The 27,768-nt window shown below is 37.4% G+C and overlaps 1 long non-coding RNA gene and 1 pseudogene across 3 annotated transcripts in view, besides 1 other annotated feature; one reads left to right on the top strand and one right to left on the bottom strand.

Annotated features, from left to right (window-relative positions):
* Window positions 1-11,150, bottom strand: part of CCDC144NL-AS1 (CCDC144NL antisense RNA 1) — a 61,515-nt gene extending 50,365 nt beyond the window's left edge. For both annotated transcript variants that reach the window (NR_160710.1, NR_104185.2), the window contains exon 1: window positions 10,992-11,150. This is a non-coding gene — a long non-coding RNA (CCDC144NL antisense RNA 1). The remainder of the gene's footprint in view (window positions 1-10,991) is intronic.
* CCDC144NL (CCDC144A N-terminal like (pseudogene)) overlaps window positions 1-16,282 on the top strand; it is a 32,769-nt pseudogene extending 16,487 nt beyond the window's left edge. Inside the window, exons 3-4 of the transcript NR_164128.1 lie at window positions 12,974-13,129; window positions 14,168-16,282. The product of NR_164128.1 is annotated as a CCDC144A N-terminal like (pseudogene) (transcript). The remainder of the gene's footprint in view (window positions 1-12,973; window positions 13,130-14,167) is intronic.
* Window positions 10,571-11,461: an enhancer, noted in NCBI's record as "H3K27ac-H3K4me1 hESC enhancer chr17:20771529-20772419 (GRCh37/hg19 assembly coordinates)". NCBI's record gives its function as "activates a minimal SCP1, AML or CMV promoter by ChIP-STARR-seq in primed H9 embryonic stem cells {active_cell/tissue: H9 hESC(primed)}" and the evidence as "EXISTENCE:reporter gene assay evidence [ECO:0000049][PMID:30033119]".
* Window positions 16,283-27,768: the final 11,486 nt, after the last annotated feature.

Raw genomic sequence — 27,768 nt, 5'->3', positions numbered from 1 at the left:
TGGACATAAGAATACTTGATTTATGATTTGTACTGTCATACCCTGATTTAGGAATCAAAAATATAAAGCCTTTTTATCACATACATGATTCAACTGGCAAAACTATTTAAATTTATCACTATGTTGTTTCAGGATTTTTTAAAAAAAATCCTACAAAATGAGTTTACACTCTAAACTGTATCCCAAGTATAGCAGGAAATTTCATAAAAATATATTAAAGAGGATTGGTTAAGTTGTGAAAAACTAGCATGTAGCTTTATATAATTACTAAACTGAAGAACAAAATATTAAATTATATTATGATAAACCTCTCATTATTTTGTCATAGTATCAAATGTCTATATGTACTTGCTTCACATTTAACTATTGACACTTGTAGTTTGAAAGCCTCTTAGTCTTTCATGCTGTCTAATGGATGTTTGCTTAATAGGCCTTGATACTATTGTAGGCTTGAATTTATACAAATCTTACCTCCAGAACACACAATATAATCACTAGCTATCCTATACAGAGGGTCCAGATATTCTACCTGTGTCTCTCTGGAATCAGTCATGTAACTTTTTTCTACTACTAGTATACTCTCCTCATGAGAAAACAAATAAAAAACAAAAAAAAGTCAATTTCCTCTTCACACTCTTGCTTCTGCTCCCTGTCTCGTGAATCCAATTTGCTGGTTCTTTGCTCATGGAAATGTTGCTTGGATCCAGAATGTGACTTTGCTTTCTGTGGTGCTGGCTCTTCTGCTAGCTTCTTTCCTTTTATCCTTTCATTGAAAATTATTCTAACATATTTTATTTTCAGCATATTTTCTACCAACATTCATCAGAATTAGTAAGGAATCTCTGATTAAAGTTAAGCATTATGGCTATGTAAGTTAAATGAAAGCATATTCAACATGTATAAATATTGGCATACAGCATAGGATCCAAGGACATAGTCTTACAAGATAATTAAAACACTTAACTTTGATATGTGAGAGCTTGTTTTGAAAATGAAACTCTACACCCACACACAAACGTAACGTTTACCAGAAAATTTTCAAGTTACTTTTTTCAAAGGAATGTCACCTACTATGATCACAAAAGTTGGATGTCAGGAGTAATTACTTATCTCATACTTTTAGCCACAATGCTTAGACAGTAGGAATTAAAGTTTTAAATTGGGACATAAATCTGGAAAAAAAGTTAAATTGGCTCTGTGGGATCTTATGTATAACTAAGAATGCTTATATTTTTCATCAAACTATTCTCTTTTAAAGGTTTGCTTTATAGCCAATTAATTTTGCTGTATTCCGAGTCATGTATTTAATAATGAGAAAGAAACATGTTTTCTATGTTGTTTTAGAAGAGATGGAAAAGCACTTCATAATTTTGTCAGAAAAAATATGTATCAAAGTAATTTTTCACTTTGTTACAAATTCGAGTGTGTCAACATCTACTCTATATATTAAAGTCTATTCAACACATGCATAAATAATGGAATTAATAATATAAAATATAAATGTGCAAGTAAGTTGACAAATTGTTGAAAGTTATTTGCTAGAACATGAAAGTCAAATAACAACAGTTGGGGAATACCAAAATATCATGTGCTTTTTTATCTGTCTAGGGAGATTGATTACTTAATCCACTTCTTTTTAAAGCTTCATGAGCACTCAAATATATTGTAACTTTCTGAATGAAAAGATAATATACAATGAATGTGAGGGTTTCATGTTGATCTTCCTATTGTCTTTTAACAACAAAACAACCTTTCAAACATAACAATATAAAACAAAAATTATTTGAGTATCTAGCAAACTTCTCTTGGAGAAAGAAATATACTGAGACCCAATTTGCTGTAGAGAGTGAGATTCCAAAGCATATTTTAGAAGAAGAGAAATTAAAGAAAACCTTAATTTCCTTGCCTAAGAAATAAATGTAGAAGTTCCACCTCTAGAATGGCAATGTGAAGAGCTCCATGGATCTTTTATAAAATTGTTGAAAATTATAAAACAACCATCACCTATGTCACTTGAAAAGTCATAATGGTACATAGAAAATGATGAACTATTTATTCAAGAAAATCTACTGAAACTCACTAAGAACAGTAAGAGTTTTTTGCATTTGATCCACAACCCATTCTTACCTCTTTTTCTCATAGCCTATCTTGACATAAACTCTACTCAATGCAATGTAGCCAAGAACACAGAACTTTTACTAGACCCCACTGGGGGGCTATAGTATCTTTCTGGGAGTAACAGTACATCCGAACTTTTCATTTCAACCCCCACCTGCTGCCACTACCTGTTCTTGAGATTAAGCTTTTGTGGAATGTGGCCAAGAAGTAGGATGTCACTTCTTCCTACCAGCTCTAATTCATGGAATGGGGACTGTTTGGGTGCAACACACTGAGAACACTGAGCCCTGATCGCCTTCTTTCTGGTTTGTCTGTAAGGCAAAGTTCTCATTCCAGGAGTGGCAAAGCTGAGATTACCAACGGCTACTTCCCATCCCAGTGACAGTCTCAAAGTAGGGCTGTCACTCCGAGAGGAGAATGCTGCTCTCTTTGCTACAATCACCAGAGCCAAAGCTCAGAAGTTTTGCCCAAAGGAAGGGGCAGAACATAGAGCAGAGAGTGTAAAGCTTTTCCCAAAAGAAGAGTTTGGGGAAATTCAACCATAAGCGTACTTTGAAAAACAATGAAGTGATGGTAAAAAGCAAATAAGAGAGACTGGCACTTTATTAGAGACATATGCTTTGAAACAAAGGTCAGCTAGTTTACCAGGAATAACCCAGGAAAAAGACAGCTAAGAAGAGCCCTTCTGGTGTCAGGAAGAAGTTTCAAATGCTGAACAAATGAAAAGACCTGAAATAATAAATAAGACTGCTAATGTAACAAAAGCCGTAAATACATAGTACGTTTCTTTTTATCTTTTTAAGACATAAAATTATGTCAAGTATGTTAGTCTGTTCATGCTGATACATATATATACCAGAGACTGAGAAATTTGTAAAGAAGAAATTTATTTCTCATAGTTCTGCAGGCTGGAAGTTTAAGATCAATTTGCTGGCAGGTTTGGTGTCTAGTGAGGTGCCTTGAATACTGCATCCTCCAGAGGGGACGAATGCTGTATTTTCATACGGTGAAAAGGATGAAAAGGCAAAGGGTCCTAATTCCCTCCAGCCCTTCTATAAGACACTCATACCATCCATGAGGACAGACCCCAATAGCCTAATCATATCCTCAAGGTTCCAGCTCTTAATGCTGTCACATTGAAATTGTTTCAAAATGAACTTTGGAGAGGACAAAACAACAAACCATATCATCAAGTAACAGTTATAACAATAAATTATTGGGTATATAGCATATATAGATGTAATGTGTACAGCAATAGCACAAAAAGGAGAGCCAAAGTACACAAAAGTGAACAAAAGTAAAATTTATATATACATATATGCCACTAGAATTGTTATGCACCTAAAATTGATTGTGATGTCTACAGTAAACCCTAAAGTAACAATGAAGGGAAACATTGAAAAAATATAGATATTATTAAATATAGATTAAATGTTTTATAAAAAATACCTAATACAAAAGAAAGGAGGAGGAATAGAGAAATGAAAAGACATAAGGTATACAGAAAACTGAAGTAAAATGGATGTAAATCTATACTAGTAACCTCAAGTGAAAATGAATTTAAATATTCAAATAAAAGACAGATTGTCAGACTGGAGAAAAACAAATTAAATAAATAAGATCCATCTACATGTTGTCTGCAGGAGACATACTTCAGATCCAAACATGAAAATTAATAGGAAAAAAAGGATGGAAAAGTTATATGATGCAGGCAGTAACCACAAGAAAGCAGGAATTGTTATATTAATATCAGAAAAAAAATAGACTTTAAAACAAAAGGGGTTACAGAGGTAAAGAGAGCTTTCATAAAAATAAAAGGGCCAATATCTCAAAAATAAATAACAATTACAGGCATATATATGTGTGTGATAAAAAACTTCAAAATCTATTGACACAGAAACCTCCAAAAATGAAGATTAGACAATTTAACATACTTCTTGCAGCCTTTAATACTCACTTTCACAAATGGATAAAATGACTAGGCAGAAGATCAACAAAGAAATAGAACACTTGAACAATACTACAAAATAACTAGACTGATTAGATATTTAAGGAACACTTTAACAACAGTAGATTCTCAAGTGCACATGCAATATTACCCAGGAATACCATACCCCAGGCCATAAAACAGACCTCAATGAATTTAAACATTGGAATAATACAAAGTATATTTTCAGACAATAACTGAGTAAAATAATAAATCAGCAATAGGAAAATTTGGGAAACTCAGAATTATGTGGAAATTAAACATGCTATTAAATAACCAATGGGTCCAAGAAGAAATAAGATAAATTAGAAAATACTTTAAAAAAAATAAAACACTTTAAGAATGCATAATATCTCTTACGTGATGCAATAAAAGTAGTTCTCATACTCAAAAATAACATTCTCTAACCTGCCACCATAAGGCACTGAAAAAAGAAGAGCAAATTAAAACTACAGCAACCACAAGGAAGTATTAGGGATATACAAATTAGTGAAATACAAAATAGAAAAACAATTGAGAACCTCAACAAAGCCAAAAATTGTTTCTTTGAACACATCAAAAGTGGCCACAATTTACATAAACTGACCAACAAGAGAAACTATTCAAGTATCAATGAAATTTTTAAAAGAACACTAAAAGACATAAAAAATTATTACAAAAGTACCTATGAACAATTATATCTAAAATTTAGATTTTTTAAAGAACAGGACAAATTCTAAGATTCAAATTAGCAAAAATGAATCAAGGAGAAATATAAAATCTTATCAAGTAAAGAGATTTAGTAATCAAAACTACCACCTCAGGAAACAATGACAACAGCAACAAATCTTCTAGCCAAGAATGCCTCTACCAAACTTTCAAAGTTGAATTAATACAATTATTTACAAACTCTTGCCAAAAAAAAAGAGAATACGCTTCCCAGTTTATTCTATGAAGCTAGTATTACCCTAATAACAAAACCATACAATAGCATCAAAAAAAAAAAAAGAAAACAAAAACACAGAACAATATCTTTAACAAAAATAGATGGAAAAAATCCTCAGCAAAATGCTAACGATCAAAATCCAGCAATACATAAAACATGTAATATACTATAACCAGGCAGGACTTAGGAATGCAAGAAAAATCTAAAATAAATGCATCATTACATTAACTAGAGTCAATTATATTGAGTTTCATTTTCCCTATTGATTACCTACTAAGTTGCTTCCAGTTTTACAGTATTTCATACTGCCATTCCTGGACTCATATCTGGACTGTTTCACGGTATTGACTTTAGAGAATATAGAGGGATAATCTTGGAAATAGAGAAACAATATTGTTCATTGATTTTAAAATTATATATATATACAAATAGTCAAAAAGTCGTTTTAGCCTAAATGAATTCCATGTCAATGAAAATGAAATAACGAAATGATACCATCAATCAAAAAGATGAGAAAATGGAGGAAATGAATATTGGAAAATAGAGTTACTGACTTAATTGTTGGATTTCTAGTGAAGCAGGTAAACAAATTCTTTTCTGTAGTTATCCTATCTAGGGCCACATGTCTTTAACCTGGCACTAACAAAGTACTAAAACCATATAACAAAACATTCTTTTATACATTTGGGTCCTCATGTAACTTTATCTAGAAAGAACACTTTTGTTAATTTAAAAGGAATATTTCAGTTCCTACAGCATTTCTTTGCATTAACTGGTTTAAACACCAATCTCCGTTAGTTAGTTAGTATACCCCTAGCAAAAACTGGATTAATAATCAGGTATCTGGGCAGGAAATGCTGTGCCCCGGGGTCTACTAGCAGTGAGTAAGGAAATGATTCTTTGTGTCTTTCTGTAGTAAGGCATTCATAGCTTCTGTTTTACAAAGCATAATTATAGCTACCAATATTTTGGATCCATAGATCTTCAGTAAAAGGCTATATTTGTGTGCAGAACATTTGATATAAAAAGTTAAGGCTTCCAGTCTTATTTGTGTTGTAAGTTTTCTAATTATATAGTATTGTATTTTCAGATGAGTACACACAATGAAAACAAAATTACCATTCACAGTTTGCCTTCTTTCCATCAAATTGGTCTCGTCATATAAACGTAGTTTATTTTAGAGATGCAGTGTTCCTTTGTATTCATAGCATCATCACTCAAGATGGTAATTATTATGGTGAACATCTGGGTCATTACGCTGGCTTATCCTTTAACAGATTGCTATGAAATTGGATCTTATCCTTAAGCTCCAATGTCTGTATGGCCCTGATAATGTTGAAAATGCAGTCCTCATTGTACCTAACCTTAGGAAATGAATAAATGGCTATTTGGAGTCCTGGGTCCCTTTGTGCTTTTATATTCCTGAGAGCGTGGTTTTATAATACTTCACAGAATAAGACTAATTGTGAAATATTTGGATGTAGGTTGATTTGGATGTCCCTGACTACACAACATCTGCATGTAAGACAACACACTATTTTCAATTATGATTTTGTCAAGTTCTCAAAATACAGGATTGACTTTTAACAGAAACTTTTTCTGTGTGCTGGCATAATACCATTTGTGCTATTTTCTTATATTTATTCCGTATATCAAAAAGGGATATTAATTAACTAAAAGGGTTTTTGTGCTTATTTTAGACAATAAAGAAATTATGAAAGTTTACTCATAAATATGCTGGACAGTCATTTCATAATAAAGTATGACATTCTTTTATGTATGTCTCCCCAAGGGTAAAAGATCATTCAAGCAAAACTATCTCCTGTATCGATATTTATTCACCTAAATAGACTGTTTTGGTTAAAATTTTAATGAAAAGTCATGCTTATGTTACTGTATAATTTTGTATATGCATGGATATTTATCTGTTCAAAGTAGAGATGTAGTTGACATGAAGGGATGTCTGCCTAGTTCACAAAAGTATAACCATGAAAATATCATTTCTATGATACTCCCTCGTTAGGGAGCTATCCCTTTCTCACTCCAACCTTGAAACTGTAATGTCAGAGATCATAGTATCTACTTCCCTGTGCAATACTTTTTGATCCAAGTAATAGATCCATGATCTGAGAATAGTCAAAGTGCATCTCAGATTTTTCAAGAGTTGGAGAGAGTGAAGGTTTCACTTCTGATGGTATATGTTGTAAGAATGAGTCTGTATCTGTCAGTGCCAAATTAAAGATGGAATAAGAATAAAGCTGATGCTCAGAGAAGGGGGAATGAGATTTAGAGGTAGTATTGACTATTTAAAATGCGTCCTGAGGTCAGTCCCACAAATGCATTTTATTTTATTTCAATACTGACAAAACCTTCTTTTTATGGTTATAGTTAGTTCAAATTAGTTTTTTTCAATTTCAATTGAAATAACAGGTGTAAAAAAACCACAAAAGTACACCATTTCCCCTTGCAAATGTATTGTTCTGAAGCTAGACTGATGTTGAAATACTCGAGGTCAACCTAAAATGATACTGTTTTACTGATGCCTTCATTTTTAGTATATTTTCCTTAGATTTTACAAGAGGTAAAAACATCTACTATACATGTGTTACACCTTTCGCGGTTGCTTGTAGTCTTCATATCTGGTGTGTGTGTGGCTGGGACAGTGGAACACGATGGGAAGACTGAAAATGATACAATTCCAAAAAGCTGTTTTTACAGTGTGAAGCCTAGCCTCAGAGTAAAATCCCAACACTATCACGCAAAAAATTACTAGGTTTGCACCAAGTATGAATAGGTTGGAAAACTAAAAAGGCCTATGAGGCCCTGTAAGAACCACCTTATTAGTGTTTAATAAAGGTAAAGGTAAAGTACAACAGAAATAAAATGCAGGAAATCATTGAATGTCTGTCTTTCAGGAACAGGGCCTTTCTCCCTAAAGATCCTTTCTCAGTCTCACGGACACAGTTTATCTGTATATTATGAACCTTCAAGATTTGAGCTTACTATAATAATTAAAGGGAAGTGCAGAAAAGTCTTTACAGCAGGCTCCCTCATACATTGTTGGTCATATACTTCTTAAGCCAAGTTGTGTAAACCATCAAACTAAACATTCTCAACGATGTAGACCAGTTGGCACTAAACTTAAAGCAACATTAGGAATCACTAACTAGCACATGCCATTTTCATCTTGCTCACGGGTCAGTGTTATGCTTCCGATGCATCTCTAGATATAAATATCAAGCTGTTCCAGTCCAACTGTAAGAGAGCCCTCTCTTATGTAGCCATACATTAACATATATGAGAATATAAGATGTGTTGAGGAAAAAGTATCAAAGGATTGAGAAATCTACGTAAATTTTAAAAAGAATTAAGAGAAGACCAGGCTATATTTAATGTCATCAAAGATAATTCTAGTGCATTGGCATTTTTTCACGTGCCTTTTCTTTCTTTTCCCCTTGACTGATTCTCTAACTAGTTTTAATCAGTTTTATAGAATAATCTGCGTATAAGGCACACATTTTAGTCCAGTTCAGTTTTACAAATTTATAAAGCTAGATAACCACCTACACAATCAAATATAGAATATTCCCTTCACCTACACATTTATTGCAAGACCTTTGCCAGTGAATTCCCCACTTCAACCCCAGAAAAGTTTAATGCATTGTCTTTATATAATTTCAAATTTTATTTACGTGGAAGCATACAATATTTATTATTTAGTATCTGCCTTCTTTCCTCTAGCATATGATAAAAATTCACGTTTAATTTTTTTTTTTTTTGTACAAAGGAATGACAATCCTTCAATTGTAAAAACTAAACAACATGCCACCCAACTAATCACATGCCTTAGGGTGTATTTCTGAAATATAAGATACATTTTTTAAAAGCAACTTTATTAAAACTCAGGGCTATTAAAGTATATGCACAAATACAACACTAAAAAATAAAGTTACGTTTCCAGGCCGGGCTCAGTGGCTCACGCCTGTAACCCCAGCACTTTTTGAGGCCGAGGCAGGCAGATCATGAGTTCACGAGATTGAGACCATCCTGGCTAACACGGTGAAACCCCGTCTCCACTAAAAATACAAAAAATTAGCCGGGCTTGGTAGCCTGCGCCTGCAGTCCCAGCTACTCGCGAGGCTGAGGCAGGAGAATGGCGTGAACCCGGAGTCAGAGCTTGCAGTGAGCTGAGACCATGCTACTGCATTCCAGCCTGGGCGACAGAGCAAGACTCCGTCTCAAAAACAAAAAAAACGCCTCAGCAAAGCAGAGGAAGCAATCAGTAGAATGAAAAAACAGGCAGGGAGCGGTGGCTCACCCCTGTACACCCAGCACTTTGGGAAGCTGAGGGGCGCCGATCATGAGGCCAGGAGATCAAGACCATACTGGCTAACAACATGGTGAAACTCCGTCTCTGCTAAAAATACAAAAAAAGTGTCCTGGCGTGGTGGCAGGCGCCTGTAGTCCCAGCTACTCGGGAGGCCGAGGCAGGAAAATGGCGTGAACCCAGGAGGCAGAGCTTGGCAGTGAGCGGAGATCGTGCCACTGCACTCCAACCTGGGCGACAGACCGAGACTCCGTCTAAAAAAAATTAAATTGAATTAAAATTTAATAAAAATGAAAGAACCCAGATAATGGAAGCAAGTATTTGCAAACCATGCATCAGGCAAGGGGTTCATACAAAAAATGCATAAAGAACTCAAACTACTGAAAAGCAAACATACAAATGATCTTATTAAAAAAATCTACCCCAAACCTTTGTCCCCCACCATTATTTCCCTACCTTCTTTTCCAAACGGCCTTTGGCCCCCTCCCTCTCACCACCCTTTTTCTTTCACCATCTGCCCCCAAACTTCATCATTTTTTGCCCACCCTCATTTCACAAAGCCGCCTCTACTCTCCTGCTCAACACCCTTTTCCCCATCCATCTACCCAAACCCTTTCCCCAGTTTCTTCCCACCCTCTTTTCCCCTTATCCCTGGCCACCCTCTTTTTCCCCGTCCCGCTCTCATCACCCTCTTTTGCCCCTTTATCTAAGCAAAAACATTTTCCCCCGTCTTTTCCCAAAACCTTCTCTCCACTCCTGCTGCTCACTACCCTCTTTCCCTGCTTCATCCAACCAAAAACTGTTTTCTTCATCGTCTTTCCCCGTTCCTCCTTGCCATTCTCTTTCGCTTCTCCATCTACCCAAAAACATTTCCCTCCGTCTTTTCACAAAGCCTTCTCCCCACGGCTATTCACCTCCCTCTTTCCCCCTCCATCTACACCCCAAAACTTTCCCCACCATCTTTTCAAAGTCTCCCCCCTTTACCACTAGTGCTCTTTTTTCCCCTATCCTGCTTGCCACCCTTTTTCCCCTCCCTCTGCCCCAAACTATTTTTCCGTTGTTTTCCCAACCCCCATCCCTGCTACCTGTCGCCACCCTCTTTCCTCCTCATTATCCTCTTCCCCCCTCCATCTATCAAAACACTTTTCACCCCCCGTCTTTTCTTTCTTCACCATCTTTCTTTTCTGCCACTGTCTTTTCACAAAACTTTGTCTTCCTCCTGCTGGCTACCCTCTTTTTCCTTCTGCCACTTGCTACCCTCTTTTGTTCAACCCAAAAACTTTTCCCCCTCACTATATTTTCTCCCCACTGTCTTTTCACAAAACCTTCTCTCCCTTCCCCCCCCTTTTCCCCCATCACCTCCCTCTCTTTCCTCCGCCCACCTGCCACCCTCTTTTCCCCCTCCATCTACCCTTAAACTTTTTACCCACCGTCTTTCTGCAAAACCTTCCTTCCCTCCCGCTCCCCACCCTGTTTTTACACCTCCATCTACCCAAAAACTTTTTTCCCCACCATCTTTTCGCTGCCATCTTTTTGCAATGCCTTCTCCGGCTAAGCTATCCTTTTTTCCCTTTGGCCCTAACTACCCTCGTTACTCCCCTCTATCTGTCCCAAAACTGTTTTCCTTCTCCTACCTGCTCCAGCCGCGCTGCTCTCTCTCCGTCACTGCCAACAACCGCAGCGAGGCGAGCCGCGCTCCCGCGGCTCCAGCCTCCAGCATACGGCCACCGACTCCTGATTCCTAGTCCTCTACGTTGGGCAGTGAGCAACTCCACATAAAAATACAGGAACTTGAAAAAACGTGTTTCCGCTTCAGCATCATTTATATACTGCGGTAATGCCCACGGAGGTTCCTGGACTGCATGTCTTGATTGGATGAGAAAAAAACCTCCAGGCTTACTCTGATTGGACTTTATGATCATGTTCTGATTGGATGAGAGCAAGTCTTAACACAACCAATCACAGCATGAAAATAAAGTCCAATCAGAGTAGGCCTAGAGGTTTTTTTTCTCATCCAATCAGAACATGTAGTCCAGGAACTGCATTTGCATAACCTCATATATAAAGCATGCTGAGGTGGCGTCAGGTCATTTCAGGCTCTTCTGTGTCCAGCGGAGGAGCAACTCTGTGTCCAGCTTAGAGAACTGGAAGAAGCCGCAACCTTCCACCTGCTGGAGGGTGGAGGATGGATGGAGCCTGGAGCCTGGGTCACTACCTCGCTGCGGTTGGTAGTGGCGATAGAGCAGTAGGAGAGCGGTCAGCAGCAGGAGCTTCTCCTGCCAGGCTGGAGGACTAGAAGGAAGAGGCACTGCCACATGCTGGAGGCTGGAACCTGTGCCACCATGGCTTGCCTCGCTGTGGTTGGTGGTGACGTCGGAGACTGCAGCTTAGCCACAGTGGTAGAAACGTGATGGGGTAGGTGAGTTTTCCTGGCCTGCCCTGTGTGCCTCTGGGGGCAAGTGTTGGGTGTCCTATTGGGGTTCACTGCTAGAGGCTACCCTGCCTGTGGCAGTGGTCTGGTTGGGGGCACTCTCCGGGGTTGCATTGCTGGTGGTGGGGCAGGTTGCTTGGCTATCTGGGGCTATACTGCCCGTGGTGGCAGGGGTGGTGAGGGGAGGCAGATTGTGTACACTAGCTTGTATTGCTGGTGGCTGGGGAAGGATTAGGGGCGTTATCTTCTGCTGCACTGCCAGCAGCAGGGAGTGGGTTGGGTGGAGTTAACTGGGGCTACAATGCTGGCAGTGGGGGTGGTTTAGGGGCGTTGTTGGGTGCTGCACTGTCTGTGACTGGGGGGTGCACCATTAGGAGCTGAACTGCCCGTGGCTGGGTCAGATTGTGGGCACTATTGGGTGGTATGCTCCCTGAGGTGTGGGGGGAGTGCTTTTGTGGGGGGATATTGGGGTTACATTGCCTGAAACTGTAGGATGTATTGGATGTGCTATCTGGGGGCTACACTGCTAGTGGCAGGGGGCAGATTAGGGGTGCCATGGGGGCTACACTGCCAGCGGCATTGACGAGCTGAGGAGGTGGCAGTGGCAGTGACAGCAGTGGCCTCCTTCTTCTCATAGCTTCCAAGTAAGGGATGGTTTTCCTCTTCTCGGACTCCAGACTCTAGAAGGCGATTTTCTCCACTCGAGCTGGATTGCATGGTAGGGCCTCCACACCCACTGTGGTTTCCCGGCCTGCCCTCATGCTTTGTGTTGCGAAGACCACCTGGGACTACCAGGCAGGGAGTAGTATGCACCATGGGGGAAGTGGGAGACAGGGCACTGTGGGTGGAGGTGTCAGGAATGGGAACCAGCCCTTGGGTGGGGAGCGCTGGCTGGGTCTGAGTTTCTCCTACTCAGGCTCCCGGAGGAGGGCAGCCTTGGTGGGCCCAGCAATTCCTGGCCAGCTGGACTTGGCCAGGGGCCGGTTTCAGTGAAGGCACTCACTCCCACCCCAGGCCCCAGTTCCTGGCCAGCTTTTGCCAGGAGGGGTTGGACTTTGGAAGGTGGGTGTGAGTGCCTTCAATGAAACTGATCCCTGACACCCAGTCACCAGCATAACGAGGTGAGGCTCTAATGGTTCCAATCCCTGAGTCCTGTTTTCGGCTTTTCTGGCTTTGCCTGCCCAGCTGCTCCAAGCCAGGCTGAAGGAGGAGAAGGAGGAGTCGCCTGTGGTACGGTGGAGCAGATGACGTGGCTCTGCAGCTTGCCTCATGCAGTTGGTGGTGGAGATGGAGACCACAGCTCGACTGGAGCGGTAGGAGGGCACCCACGGGGGCCTGGAGGTAGGAGCCTGGTAGGGTGGGCTGGTACGTTGAGGGTGACTGGTTGTATTGGCATTGGCGCTAGTGGTGGTAGCAGTAGGAAGTCTGGGGGCTGGGAAGGGGGAGTAGGAGCACTGCAGGGCCCATCCCGTTCTGGGGTGGGGAGGAACCTGTGGGTGCTGTAACGAAGGCCTCGGTGGCAGTGGTGGTGGTACACCTAGGACAAAGAGGAGTCCTCCCCCTTCTGCAATCTCTGGAGAGTGCCCTCCTCCTGCTGGTGCCTGAGCTAGGCGTGAGTGGCAGCATTATCTCATTCTTAACAAAATTTAGGGGGTGACTATTTATGTATCCTTTTGCTTGTTTTTTGTTGTGATACTCTTGGAGTTACTCAAATTTTATGAATCGAGCAGGGGATAAAAAGTGTCATATGATAGGCCTTCTAATTCCCACACCTGTTCTTTTTCCTTTCTTCCATTGTGTATTTTCTTCTCATTTTCTTGTTCCTCTTCATTTTCTTTTGCTACTGCTTCTATTTCATGTTTGTATTCTTGTTTCTCCTCCTGTTTTTGTATTTTTATGCCAAGCAATGGCCTTAACAAACCAAAACTGAGTTAAAAATAAAATACTTGTCACTGTTGTGTTTTTTAAATAACTGATCCTTTACTATGTTTTAGAGATGAGGAAAAAAAATCAGTTGTATAATTAGTTACTTGAATAGCCATGTTTTCATAATTGTGTCAACCCACTTATGCCTAGTGTTCCATGCTAAGCATGTGGAAATTACTTATATCTTACTGTTAAATGTCATCGGCAAGGTCTGATTTTTCACTTATGCAAAAATTCAAAAAATTGCAACCTCTGGCATAAATGGACTAATGTGTTATTCAAGGAATCAAAAAATGAAGCATCACAAAATATTGGTAGCAAACAGCCATTTCATCTCTCTCACATATTTTTTTCTGGAGCTATGCAAGAGTCACAGGGGTAATAAGTTCTAATTTATGAGATGATTAATTGAACCATATTCCCTTCATTTTTTTTTCTGCCACCATTTTCAAGAGTATTGTCATCTGCATGAGCAAAGGGTTCATCACCACATCTTTGCAAGAGGAAAAAGAAAGGGGAAGAATCATGTGTCTAATGTTGTAAGGTAAACATTCACAACCAAAAACAAGGTTTTATTAACTTTTGCCTTTAAGAACCTGCAGTGTTTAGCCCTCTTTGATTCCTAGTATTATTACCTTTGGTATGAACTCTTTTATTAAACTGATCACTCTAGAGGTTTATGCATTTTGTATCATTTTTCAAGCCAACAGAAATGTGTAATGCCTATAATTCTGACACTTTAGTTATTTTTAAGGCTATGAGCATGTAAGATACTGTTGGAAGAATATGTATAAATACCACTAGGTAGCTTATTTTGAAGAGATAGTATCTAAATTTTTGTCCAGAGTAGATTGGTTGCAGTTTCTTAGGTGTGTTTCTTAATACGTTGCCTCAATGTTTTAAAGCATGTAGAAATTTGAATACAGTTTAACTTCATATAGTCCTTTGTTTATAGATTTAATATTTCTAAAGACTAAAGACATCACAGCTCCCTTTAAGATTCAGTAATATTAATAAAATTTTAGAAATATAGGGTTAGAATCCAACAAATTCAGAGGAAAATTGTTAAATTCTATAGCTGTAGAGCAGAAATGAAACCCAGGTTCTAAGCTCTAAGGGGGCCATGAGGTACCATACAGGTGCATCAGTGACTGGGCATAGATTCAGCAAAATTACAGGATGGTTAAGAGAGTGAGCTGTGGAGCCAAACTCTATGTAACATGAATTTTTAAACTGCCTGGTGCCTCAGTTTATCCATCTTTACAGTGGGGACTGTAGTAAGTTTTTCTTTTTCTGCTCAGTTGTCTGTCTTGTTGCCACTGTTCCCTAGTCTGTCTTGTTGCCACTCAGTGCCCACATGAGAGGATCTACGGTAATTTCTGACAGCCTGGGACTCCTTAAAGAAAAACAGAAGGTGCTACAAAACCCATTTTAGGAGAAACCTCTGTTGTCCTCATGGAACCCCAAGAACTTCAGGCAGACAGGTCTCTCTCAAAATCTAAGGCTCTCCTCTGTTTTGTTTTGCGTTATCTGACCTTTTAGGTTTGGTTGGGCATCAGAAATCAGTCGGGGAGAGAGATCTAAAGAAAGTTGTGGATATGAAGATGTATTTATGGTAAAAAAGTTATGAAGGAAAGAAATGTTATATGAGAGAGGATCTTGTATGGCAAATTCTTGTCCTAAAGTAGAATGACTAATTATGAAAGAGGGAAATACAGGAAAAGTCAGAAAGTTCATGTCATAGATGGTCTGTGGAAGTTGTGCTAGGGTTCATAAAATGAGAAAGAAAAACTTACAACTGCTAGATCTTCTCCTGTCTAGAAGTGTTGTGTATGTGTTGGATATGTAAAGGAGCCCTAATTACTTGGCTTAGAAGAAAAGGACGGCTCTTAAATATTTTGTCAGAAAAATAGAATCTCCAATGCCTTTTATTTCACATGACTTCAGTAATCTTTGGGAAATAAAGACAGTGTTAAAATCATTGGTAAAAAAAATCATCAAAATTTATCCATTTTGTCTAATTTAAGTCAGAGGTTAAATTTTAGAAGTGCTTTAACGTCATAAATTGATTGACTTTGGAAAATTGTTCTGTTTACCTGGTTTGGAGCTGCTCAACTTCTAGGTAAGGCCTGGGGGACAGGTGGAGTTAGCCATGTCTCCTAGCTATGCTGGAAAGAGTCAGACTTTACCTGCAGTTCTGTCTTGTATCCTATACACTGCACCTGGTACGTTATTAAAACTTCCTGCTGCTTCTAATCTCTGAGTTCCACTTTAAATTTTTCCATCACTTGAATACTATCCTCTGTACTAAATTTTTCCGCAATTAAATACTTAGAATCATTTTTGCCCACTTGACCCAAGCATTAGTGATATATCTTTAAAATACTTATAATGTGTCACAATATATTTAGCAAATGTAGCGAATGGCATTTTTACTTTTGTCAGCATTTACATAGCATTTAGCAATGCTATCTCAAGTATTTTTAGTCATTTGAATGTTACATAATATGCTTTTCCTTTGTTTCTATGTAAATAAATAGGAGATATTCAATAAATAGTATCAATTAATGTTTCACTTCTAGAATATACTTATTAGGATTATTTTTAAACACTACATTGTATTTACTTGTTGGCTTTATAATTTAGAAATAATATTTTGGATTAACTGTGTGACTCATGAGAGGGAGTTTGTGCAATTACAATCTTTACAAATTTTTACTTGATTTTCAAGACTTACACTACAACTGTTAGAACAAGGTAATAAATAAGCATATCTATTAATATCAACTCTTGGCTCAACCCAATGATAGTGTAGGAATTAACATAATTTTTCCTACTAAAGGTATTGGATTTGTTTTGAGAGACCGCAGTTTAAAATCATTGACATAGAAAGTTTAAAAATTGTTAAATTTTTAAAATGCCTTTGAAATTGTATTATAGAAAAATAAATATCCTAGTTTAGATTGGTAGGTTTTTTTTTTAAATAAGGACTAGGCCAAGAGAAAGGGAGAGTAGTGATAAATGTCCAGGTTTTTAAGTTGAAAAGTGAAAATCAGTGTATTACAATGGATGGATTTGATGTCAAATTACAGATGCTGAAAACATTGTATGTAATCTACTAGCCAGGGTAATTATACAAGGCAAAGAAATGAAAGGCATCCAAATAGGAAAGGAAGGGGTGAGATTGTCTCTGTTTTCTGAAAATGTAATCCTAATGTAAAGAAAATCTTAGACTCCACCGAAAAAACCTGTTAAAGCTGATAAACACATTCAATAAAGTTGAGAGTTACAAAATTAACATACAAATAGTATTCTTGTTTCTAAACACCCATGACAAACTATCCGAAAAATAAATTAATAAAGTAATTACATTTATAGTAGCAACAAAACAAATATATAAGTAAATAAAATACTAAGGAGTAATTTTAATGAAGGGTGTGAAAGATGTGTATACTGAAAATTATAGCACATTGATGAAAGAATTTGGAAGTGACAAATAGAAAAATATCCTATATTTATGAATTCAAAAAATAATATTGTCAAAATCTCAATGCTACCCCAAACAATCTACAGATCTGATATTTGATAAAGCAAACAAAACATAAAGTGGGGAAAGGACACTCTTCAATATATGGTGCTGAGATAATTGGCAGGCAACATGCAGAAAAATGAAACAGTTCTTCAAAAGGTTAAGTATAGAATTACCACGTGACTCAGTAATTCACTCCTATGTGTACACTAAAAAAATTAAAACAAACGTCTACACAAAAAGTAGCATACAAGTATTTATAGCAACAAAAAGTAGGAAACAACAGAAATGTTCATCAATTGAGGAGTAGAGTAATAAAATGTGGCCTGTCCATAAAATATAATATTACTTGGCAATGAAAAAGAAAAAGGTATTAATACATGCTCCAAAAAGGATAAACATTGAAAACATGGTAAGTGAAAGTAGTGAGTCGCACGTAACTATATATTATTATGATTCCGCTTACATGAAATGTCCAGGATGGGCAAATCCTTCCAGAATAGGCAAATCCTTAGGAAGTAGATGGATGGTTGCCTAAGGCTGGGAGAGGTTTAAAGAAAGAGTGGGGAAAATGAGGAAAGATTGCTAATGGGTGCAAGGTTTCTTTTAAGGAGCATAAAAATGTTCTAAAATTATATTGTGGTGATTGCATATTCACCCAGTTAATGCACTAAAAAATTGAATTTTATACTTTATATGAGTGAATTAAATAATATATAAATTATATCTCAATGAACCTGTGAAAAAAGTTAAAAAATATGTGGTATGCATACACAAAATTTCTTCATTTTATTTTATTTCCATAGGTTTTTAGGGAACAGGTGGTGTTTGATTATAAGAGTAAGTCCTTTAGAGGTGATTAGTGAGATTTTGATGCACCCAACACCTGTGCAGTATACACTATCCAATTTGTAGTCTTTTATTCCTCACGCCCCACACCCTTTCTCCCAAGTCCCCAAAGTCCATTATAGTAGTCTAATGCCTTTGCATCCTCATAGCTTAGTTCCCGCATACGAGCGAGGGCATACGATGTTTGGTTTTCCATTCTGACGTTACTTCACTTAGAATAATAGTCTCTGATTCCATCCAGGTTGCTGTGAATCCCATTATTTTTTTCGTTTTATGGCTGACTAGTATTCCCATATATTTATGTATTTATTTATTTATATCACAATTTCTTAATCTACTTATTGATGGACATGTGGGCTCATTACATGTTTTTGCAATTGTGAATTGTGCTGATATAAAATAAGACATGGACAGGATGCTGAGGAGGGCATCAACAAATTTCTACATACAAATATTTTATTTTATTTTAAAACTTTATTTTATTTTTTATTATTATCGTACTTTAAGTTTTAGGGTACATGTGCACAATGTGCAGGTTAGTTACATATGTATACATGTGCCATGCTGGTGTGCTGCACCCATTAACTTGTCATTTAGCATTAGGTATATCTCCTAATGCTATCCCTCCCCACTTCCCCCACCCCACAACAGTCCCCAGAGTGTGATGTTCCCCTTCCTGTGTCCATGTGTTCTCATTGTTCAATTCCCATCTATGAGTGAGAACATGTGGTGTTTCTTTTTTTGTCCTTGCGATAGTTTACTGAGAATGATGATTTCCAATTTCATCCATGTCCCTACAAAGGACATGAACTCATCATTTTGTATGGCTGCATAGTATTCCATGGTGTATAAGTGCCACATTTTCTTAATCCAGTCTATCATTGTTGGACATTTGGGTTGGTTCCAAGTCTTTGCTATTGTGAATAGTGCCGCAATAAACATACGTGTGCATGTGTCTTTATAGCAGCATGATTTATAGTCCTTTGGGTAAATACCCAGTAATGGGGTTGCTGGGTCAAACAGTATTTCTAGTTCTAGATCCCTGAGGAATCGCCACACTGACTTCCACAATGGTCGAACTAGTTTACAGTCCCACCAACAGTGTAAAAGTGTTCCTATTTCTCCACATCCTCTCCAGCACCTGTTGTTTCCTGACTTTTTAATGATTGCCATTCTAACTGGTGTGAGATGGTATCTCATTGTGGTTTTGATTTGCATTTCTCTGATGGCCAGTGATGATGAGCATTTTTTCATGTGTCTTTTGGCTGCATAAATGTCCTCTTTTGAGAAGTGTCTGTTCATATCCTTTGCCCACTTTTTGATGGGGTTGTTTGTTTTTTTCCTCGTAAATTTGTTTGAGTTCATTGTAGATTGTGGATATTAGCCCTTTGTCAGATGAGTAGGTTGCGAAAACTTTCTCCCATTTTGTAGGTTGCCTGTTCACTCTGATGGTAGTTTCTTTTGCTGTGCAGAAGCTCTTTAGTTTAATTAGATCCCATTTGTCAATTTTGGCTTTTGTTGCCATTGCTTTTGGTGTTTTAGACATGAAGTCCTTGCCCATGCCTATAGTATTTTATAGCATTGCTTTGAAATATTTGATTCTCATATTTATTTTAATGGATGCAAAATTGTTGAGCAGAGCAGTGTTCAAAAATAGCTACTATAAAAAATAATTTTTGTCTTATATTACAAGTTTTTCCTTTCTCATGTAATGATAAACAAGACAGAGACCTTCATCAAATTTTGTACTTTTTATCTCTACCGACTTCTGATAATATATATTTTATTTATTTACTTTATCATATTTTTTCTTCAAGGTAGGTTGAGCTGATGACACACAAAGACATACACTCATTCGTATGCACACACATCCCAAACACTGAAAAGAGATCCAATTAACCTATTGCCCAAATATTTTCAAATCTAAAATAAGTGTATGATTTTGTTTTGTATAAAATATAGTCAGTTCATTCACAGTCTTTATTATTTTCGTGTGAGTTACAGCTTGGAAGCATGTTTGGCTTATATAATCATATATATAATCTTGACAAGGTAAAGCAAGAACTGGCATAATTCACTGAAATGAAAGTGCTAATGGTTTGTATGAACACATCACAACTGGGAATAAAAAGGTTATTCACTTTTTATGGCAAACCTTTTCTTTTTCTCTATGGTTCATGGTCTAAGGCTTTGTTTTTTAGACACTTTGATATTTCTTCAATAATATTTGGAAAAACCTTTATTATTGATAAAGTATTGAGAATCAGCCCGCTTGTTTCATATAATTGAGTAGATATATTCTAGAGAGTTAAATCACATATTTTAGATTTAGATTTAACTTTTATGTTTTAGATCTTAAACTCAACCATACATACTATTAATTTCCATATTTCAAGTAATATCACTGCTGATTCTCTGCCCCAGATGGATGGTTCTTCTATTTTTGGTATTATCCAGGCCCTTTCTCTATAATCTCTTTTCACAATAATTATAAAATTTGATCCTTTGTCCTTCATTGTCACTGAAAATAGAGAATTTTAAATTGAAATAGAGACTTACTATGATACCTTTCTAAATATAATGCGTTGATTAGTGGTAAAGTCTGGAAAGGCCTCTGGATTTGGACTGAGCCATGCTAACAAGTTTCTTGGTTCTCCAGCTTGCACGTGGCCTATTATGAGACTTCTTAGCCTCTGAAATCAGATAAGCCAATTCTCCTAATAAATGTCTTCTCTTCACTTCTTCTCTCGCTCTCTGTCTATACACACACACACACACACACACACACACACACATCTTCTATCAGTTCTGTTTCTCTGGAGAACCCTACCTAAATCAGAGTTCTTAACAGTTTTATTTCCTCTGGAGAATAATATATGTACATCTTATATGTGTAATTTAAATGACTACACATGCTACTTTTAATGTTATATTTATCAAAAAGCATGTAAAGTCTAAGATTATATGGGCCAGCATTTAATGTTTTCCAAAAGGGAATTTTGAATAAAGTGAAATTGATTTTTTAAGAATAAGCTGAAAAATTAAGGACACTTACAAAACTCTAAAAACACAATTAAAATGCTACATTTTGATTAGCAATGATTTTTTAAAAATTTAAATGATATCTTATTTGTATCTTTTTCTGTATTGAATTCGTAGACTGAGTAAAGTAGACTTCCCCAATGATGTGGGTGGGTCCCATCAATCAGTGGAAGTCTTGAATAGAATAAGAAGGCTGAGTTTCCTAGGAGTAAGAAGGAACTTCCTCCTACCTGAAAGCATTGAGATGGGACATTGGTTTCTTCCCACCTTTGGACTCAAACTGAAACTTTGGCTTTCATTGAGTGTCAAACCTGCCTGCCAGCTTTCACACTGGAGCTATGCCACCATCTCTCCTGAGTCTCCAGATTGCTGACTGCAGATCTTGGGATGTCTTTTCCCCCATAATCATGCTAAACAATGCCTTATTTCATCTCCCTGTCTCTTTCTCCTATTGGTTCTGTCTCTCTGGAAAACACTGACTAATATGATCACCATAACTGAACTCCAGATTAAAATTATGAGAGAAGTATGTAAAATGTATTTACTTTTAGTAAAACAGTAACATTTCTACTTAAATTTTTTTTTGGAAGAAAGTAGCTAAGTCTTGTTTTCCTGTAAAAGAATGTAAATAGACATTTTGACTCATTGCTGGTTTTTTCTTGTCTCAACCTTATTACTTAGAAAATATTGTATTTGTTTTACTTCTGAAAACATAAATGTCTTGCTTTACTTCTGAAAACAAATGGGCAAATAATGTTCTACCTTCTCTTACTAGCAAATACAATTATTTTTATTTTTTTCCAAAAGAAACTTAAGTAAATTCAATCAAGGGATGTACTTCAGAGCATATTTTTGGTTAATGCTAATTTGTAATTTTATGTTTGCCTTTTTATATAGGGCTATTTAGATGCCTATATTATTCTGTTTTTACATATATTTATTGCACATTTTTAATTTAAAATTTTTCCTGACTACAACTGCATGTTATAAACTCCTTGGTACATAACATTTTTGCAAACAATATGACTTCTTAGAGAAAAGCTAAAAATGAAATTATTAGGTCAAAAATATTTTACTAATTTCATATGTGAAGGCTCCATTTTGATATATTAGGCAATAACGTATATTGTTAAAGCTTTCTTTTTTGGTATATTCCTATATTAGACTTTTTAAATTACAGAGTTAATTATCATAGAATTATAATATGCTTTGATATTTAATATTTGGATTTGTTTCTATTACTCCTGGACAAATTACCAAAAATGTAGTATACTATTTTAGTACATTATACCAGTATATTAGTATTAGTAAATCATTAAAATTAATATAGTATTATTTTCTGTTACTTTATTGTCCTGCCTCAGTGCCTCATAAGAACTTTGAGCCCAGAATTATTATCTCAGGATTCTTTGGCAAACTACTGTAATCAGCAGATTAATGTAGTTTCTAATGGTCTCCATCTCCTGGGATTCCAACCCTTGTCTAATACCCTCCCCATGGGTGTCAGCTGGATCCATAGGCTTGCTGCTGTTGCACAGAATACAGCAAACATGATGAGAGGTTGATTCTGTGATTAGTTGACAAAAGATGTGACTTCTGTCTTGGACTCTTTTCAATGGCTTTTTTTTTTGGCTTCGCACATTTTGATGAAGAAACCTTCCCATACTGAAGAGGCTCACATTATATGGAATTCTGGACAACAGCTGTCAAAGTACTGAATATACCATCAAGCATGTGAGTGAGATTGATTATAACTTGTGAGAGTCTCTGAATAGAAGACCCAGTTAAGCCATGCCCAGATTCCTGCACCACAGAAACTTCGAGATAATAAAGGTTTTTTTTTTTTTTGTGGTGAAGAATATGTTTCTCATCTTTTTTTAAAATTTCATTATTATACTTTATTTTGGGATAATTTGTTATGGAGGAATTGACAAATAATATAAATACTTTTGAAATGTAACTTTTTTATCTTAATAAACATTTAACAAATCATTTGAAGATGGATAATCACAGATACAATTTTTACCAACATAACCAGGACTTTTCTTGTAACTTTGACTAATAGATGATCGTTTGAACATTACCACTTTGTAACTGCATTTCAGACTATGATTTAGTTGAATCACCCAAAGTGTGTAATGTCTTTTAATGTGCACTATCAATTCTGTTCTGCCATAATGACCTCATTTTGGCTTCTTAACTATATTCATCTGAGTCTTGTGGGGTGACTCTCTGAAGAAGAATGACTGTTAATACCAAGAACTTCTGTTGTTTCGATAAATAACAGCCAGATTACAGCCAGAACCTCAAGGTTGAGCACAGCTGCTGATGTTTGGAATCCCAGCCCTTTGGGATTAATAGGCCTAGACAGGAGGATCACTTGAGGACAGGAGTTTGAGACCAGATTGGGCTTTAATGCAAGATTTTGTCTCTGAAAAAAATAAAATAAAATAAGCTGGGCATGGTGTCACATGCCTTTAATCTTAGCTACTCAGAGGCTGAGCCTGGAGGATTGCTTGAGCCCAGTAGTTGAAGGTTACAGTAAGCTACGATAACACCACCACATCCCAGTCTGGGTGACAGAATGAGACCCTGCCAAAAAAAAAAAAAAAAAAAACCAGACTTCAGGATTTCCATACATTTTGCAAAATTCCATACAAACTGCATGCAAATTTTGGGCATATACAAGTTTTAAAAAAATAAAATTCATGGGTCCTGTCAGACATTCTCAAATGTTAAGGACCAGAGCTTAAGAAGACTAAGATCAGAGCAAGGGGCCAGGCACGGTGACTCACACCTGCAATCCCAGCACTTTGAGAGGCCAAGGCAGGCGGATTACGAGGCCAGGAGTTTGAGACCAGCCTGGCCAACATGGTGAAACCCCATCTCTACTAAAAATATAAAAATTAGCTGGTGTGATGGCATGTGCCTGTAATCTCAGCTACTCGGGAGGCTGAGGCAGGAGAATTGCTTGAACACAGGAGACGGAGGTTGCAGTGAGCCAAGATTGTGACACTGCACTCCAGCCTGGGCGACAGAGGGACTCTGTCTCAAAATAAATAAATAAATAAAAATAAATAAGAAATCAGAGCAATGTATATTTCATAAAGTCAGTGAGACCTTTCATACATTTTAGGGAAGCTTTTTATAAGATAGAAACCAAAGGTCCATGTTTTAAAAGTTATTGATTTATTTATAGATATACTCAATACATATATACTTGTTGACTAGTATGTATGCTATGCTAGCAAATCAAGATACAGCTAGTATTGTAACCCAAACCCTAACTCTACCCACTTTAGTCTTTTTATCCTAACTCTCCCCTAACAGTTCTTACTGTGTAACAGGTTAGCTATGTTAGTAAGTGTGGCAACACATCGTAGTGGAGGAAGTGCTATAAGAGGATATCAACGCCCAATGGGAATATCTAGGAAGTGCAGCCAATGTAGATTTCCACAAGAAAGCTAAACCTTAGATGATCCAAGAAAGATAAAAAGATGCTAAGCCATAAAATGGAAGAAGGCAAATTATATGAACAGAAAATTGCAACTGCAAAGATGATGGAGTGTGTTACAATAAAAGCACAGAAGGCAAAGATTTAGTATGATTTCAACATATTTTGTATGAAGGGAGAAATTAGAAGTGACATGGAATGAGTAGGCAGAATACATTATGAAGGGTCCGTCATGTTTTTGAATTTAAATTTATTTTGTTTTACATTTCTAATAGAATCGGGAAAAGCTGAAAATCCGTAGTTTCTAATTGAATGTTTTAAGAATCCTGTTATTTCTTTTAATTAAAAAACAGTCATTCAAATGAAAATATATACATTCTACCTTTTATGCATTTTGCTTTTAAGATATTTGAATGATTTATTATAATTTTACAGGCACTTCTCTTTTTATTGACAATTATAATATGCCTTGTATTTGTTGTAATAACAGTTTTAAAATTATGAGTTAATATTTTGTCCACTTTTATTTCATATAAAAAATAAACATAATTGTTCCTGAAAATATAATCTCATACAATTTAAGTGTTGAATAAATGAAAAATGTTCTCAAACTGGAAAGTTATAATAATTCAAACTGAAGCCCTGAGAGATTCAAGGCTTGAAATGGCTCTTCGAGAATGGTAAGAGAGGCTTCAATCTTAAAAATATAACTTTATTTACAAATCATAAAACATTAATTGCTGTTTACTATATTTGTTTTTAAATTTCTTTCCCAACATAGAAAAATAAATTACCAGCTACCTCAGTTTTACCATGGACCAATCTAATTACCACATAAGATTTACAGTCTCTCTTTGCTTTGTTAATTACATGCAAAACCTGTATTTTGATGTTTTGGAGAGTTTAATTTGCACTTAAATCACAACACTTCAATTTATCTTATTCATTTTGAGTTGCAGCTCTTTAAATATTGAATCTGTTATAATATTGCAGAATAGCTCACCACACTAAGAAAATTGCATTCCCAGTCTCTTCCCCATTCAAAGCACTTGTATCTGCACAAGTTGTCAAGAAGGGGCCAACTCCTTGTTTCACCATATGCTTTCCTCTGTTGCAACAAAACTGAGATATGTATGAGGACAGGGATACAGAAGATGTCAATACATATTTTCAAAGAGTACATGAATAAGTGAATGAATAAATTAGGATCATTTGATGAGGATAGCCATCAAATATGTTGAACACTGATACTCAGAATTATAAAAATAACAGTCATCAAAGTAAAACCCTAAGCCTGTAGGTCGTAGATCTCATGTTAATTAGTTTACCACACAGCAGGATCTGACCTTCCTTTTGGAAGCTACCAATGCTGCTTTTGTCAAATTTTGAGTGGCTGAATCATGCTTAAAACACACATAAAATGCAGTCTTATAGTATGATAAATAAATAAAATATAGAGAATAGTAATTGGTTGAAATCAGTAAATTGTCTCCCTCTGATTACTCTATATGAGAAATCAAATTATAATCAGAAACAGGTTGAAAGTATAAAGGGGGAAGGTCAAGCTACTAAAGACAAGGAGCCAGCGTTCCCTGATGGAAACTAGAACCATTTAGAGGACAGGTAATGGTGTAGATGTCACCCATAGCAGAGGCAAAGGAGGAGGAACAACCTAGCTGTTACCCTTTGGGCACCGGCCGATTTCCTACACACCAGCTTTCATTGACTGAACCTGATCTGAAGCCAGCTGGCAAACGAACTTGAAAAAATATAATTTGCAGTTACTAAAGGGCGTCAAAGTATGCAAATCGTCTTAGAATGCAGGGTAATGGTCATTTGAAGACACTTGAATACTTTCATCCATTGTGACTCTGAGTTAGGAAGTAGACAGTGGGGCTTAAGGAAAGATTAAGTATTATCTTGATTGGAATTTCAAGAACGGGAAAGTCTAATCCCTTTCTTGTAAAAGACATCTTGATGGATTTCAACTAACTGAGAAACGAATCAGAATACTGACTCAAACCAGAGCTAAAGAGAAAAGTGTTTCTTTCTAAAAACCAGGTGTTGAGTTCCTTGGTAAGCCAATATTGGGTGTGCGCGCACAGAGTGGCCAGACCTCTCTCCACGCAGCTCTGGCTCTGTTCAATTCGGCAAGTGCACTCACAGCAGAACTGCCACCAATATAACGTCTTGACGATGGGCTCCAGGGTTTGACACTCAGCAGCGCCACCAGCTCTGTTTTCTCCCCAAGTAAGCCACTTTCTACCTCGCGAGCAGCAGATCGCCCTGTGCGCGCTATCCTTGGGGCGGGGAGGCCTGGCGCTCACCCAGCGAGCTCTACTGGTGCTGACGTCCGTTCAGGCCTTTAAATGTCTCTGTCCCTGCGCAGGAGGGAACAGACTTTGTAGCAGTCACTTTGCCCGAAGGGAGACGCGTCTCTGCTTTTGCAGACGGCAGCACCCCTGGCTCTTCCCAGCGTTGCGTTTGCCTCTGTCTTTGTCTCGAGTTTCCTGCAGGCTTTCCAGCGGGAGTTGCTTTTGGTATTCGCACCCGGGGCGTGAACCAACAGGACTCCCCATGCCTTGTGCTTTTTCAGTGGGTTCGAAGATCAGAGATTGCGAGGTGCGCTCGGTGATCGCTCAAGGAACAGGAAGCTTCCTCCCCCTGATTTGGTAGGGGGTGAATTTTTTTTTTTTTTTTTTTGAGCTGGCGAAAGCGTCCTCCCCGCTCCTGAAGCTACAACTTGTTTTGGTTTCTTCTCAGTTCTGTGTGTGGGTACAACATCAAAGTTTTTCTCCCTTACCCTTCCAAAAATCTATCCTTTTAATCCACCCTCCTCCCCCTGCGCTGTCTCCGCCAGGCCTTCTCGGTGTGCGGTGAGTGGATAGCGGGCGCGCAGTGTGGCAGTGGCGGCGAAGATTGGTGCTATAAAAGGGAAGGATCTGCTGCTGGGGGCTCCCTGGGTGACCCTTTGCCAGGCGAAAAGAGCTGGGTAAGGGCGTAGAAGAGGAGCTGGAACCTTCTGGGAACCTGGTGCCTGACACTGGATTTTGATCACCATCCTTATGTGTCTCTGATCCTTTTTTTCTCAATTGATAACTAGTCGAGAGAGAAGCGCTTGGCAGGAGCTCTCGGCGGGACCTAAGCTCTCTGGCTACTCGGGATCCCTATGTCTGCTGC

This window comes from Homo sapiens, chromosome 17 (assembly GCF_000001405.40).
Source record: "Homo sapiens chromosome 17, GRCh38.p14 Primary Assembly".
NCBI classification, from domain to species: Eukaryota; Metazoa; Chordata; class Mammalia; order Primates; family Hominidae; genus Homo; species Homo sapiens.
Note: the sequence above shows the minus strand (reverse complement) of the source record. Positions and strands in the feature narration are given on the sequence as shown.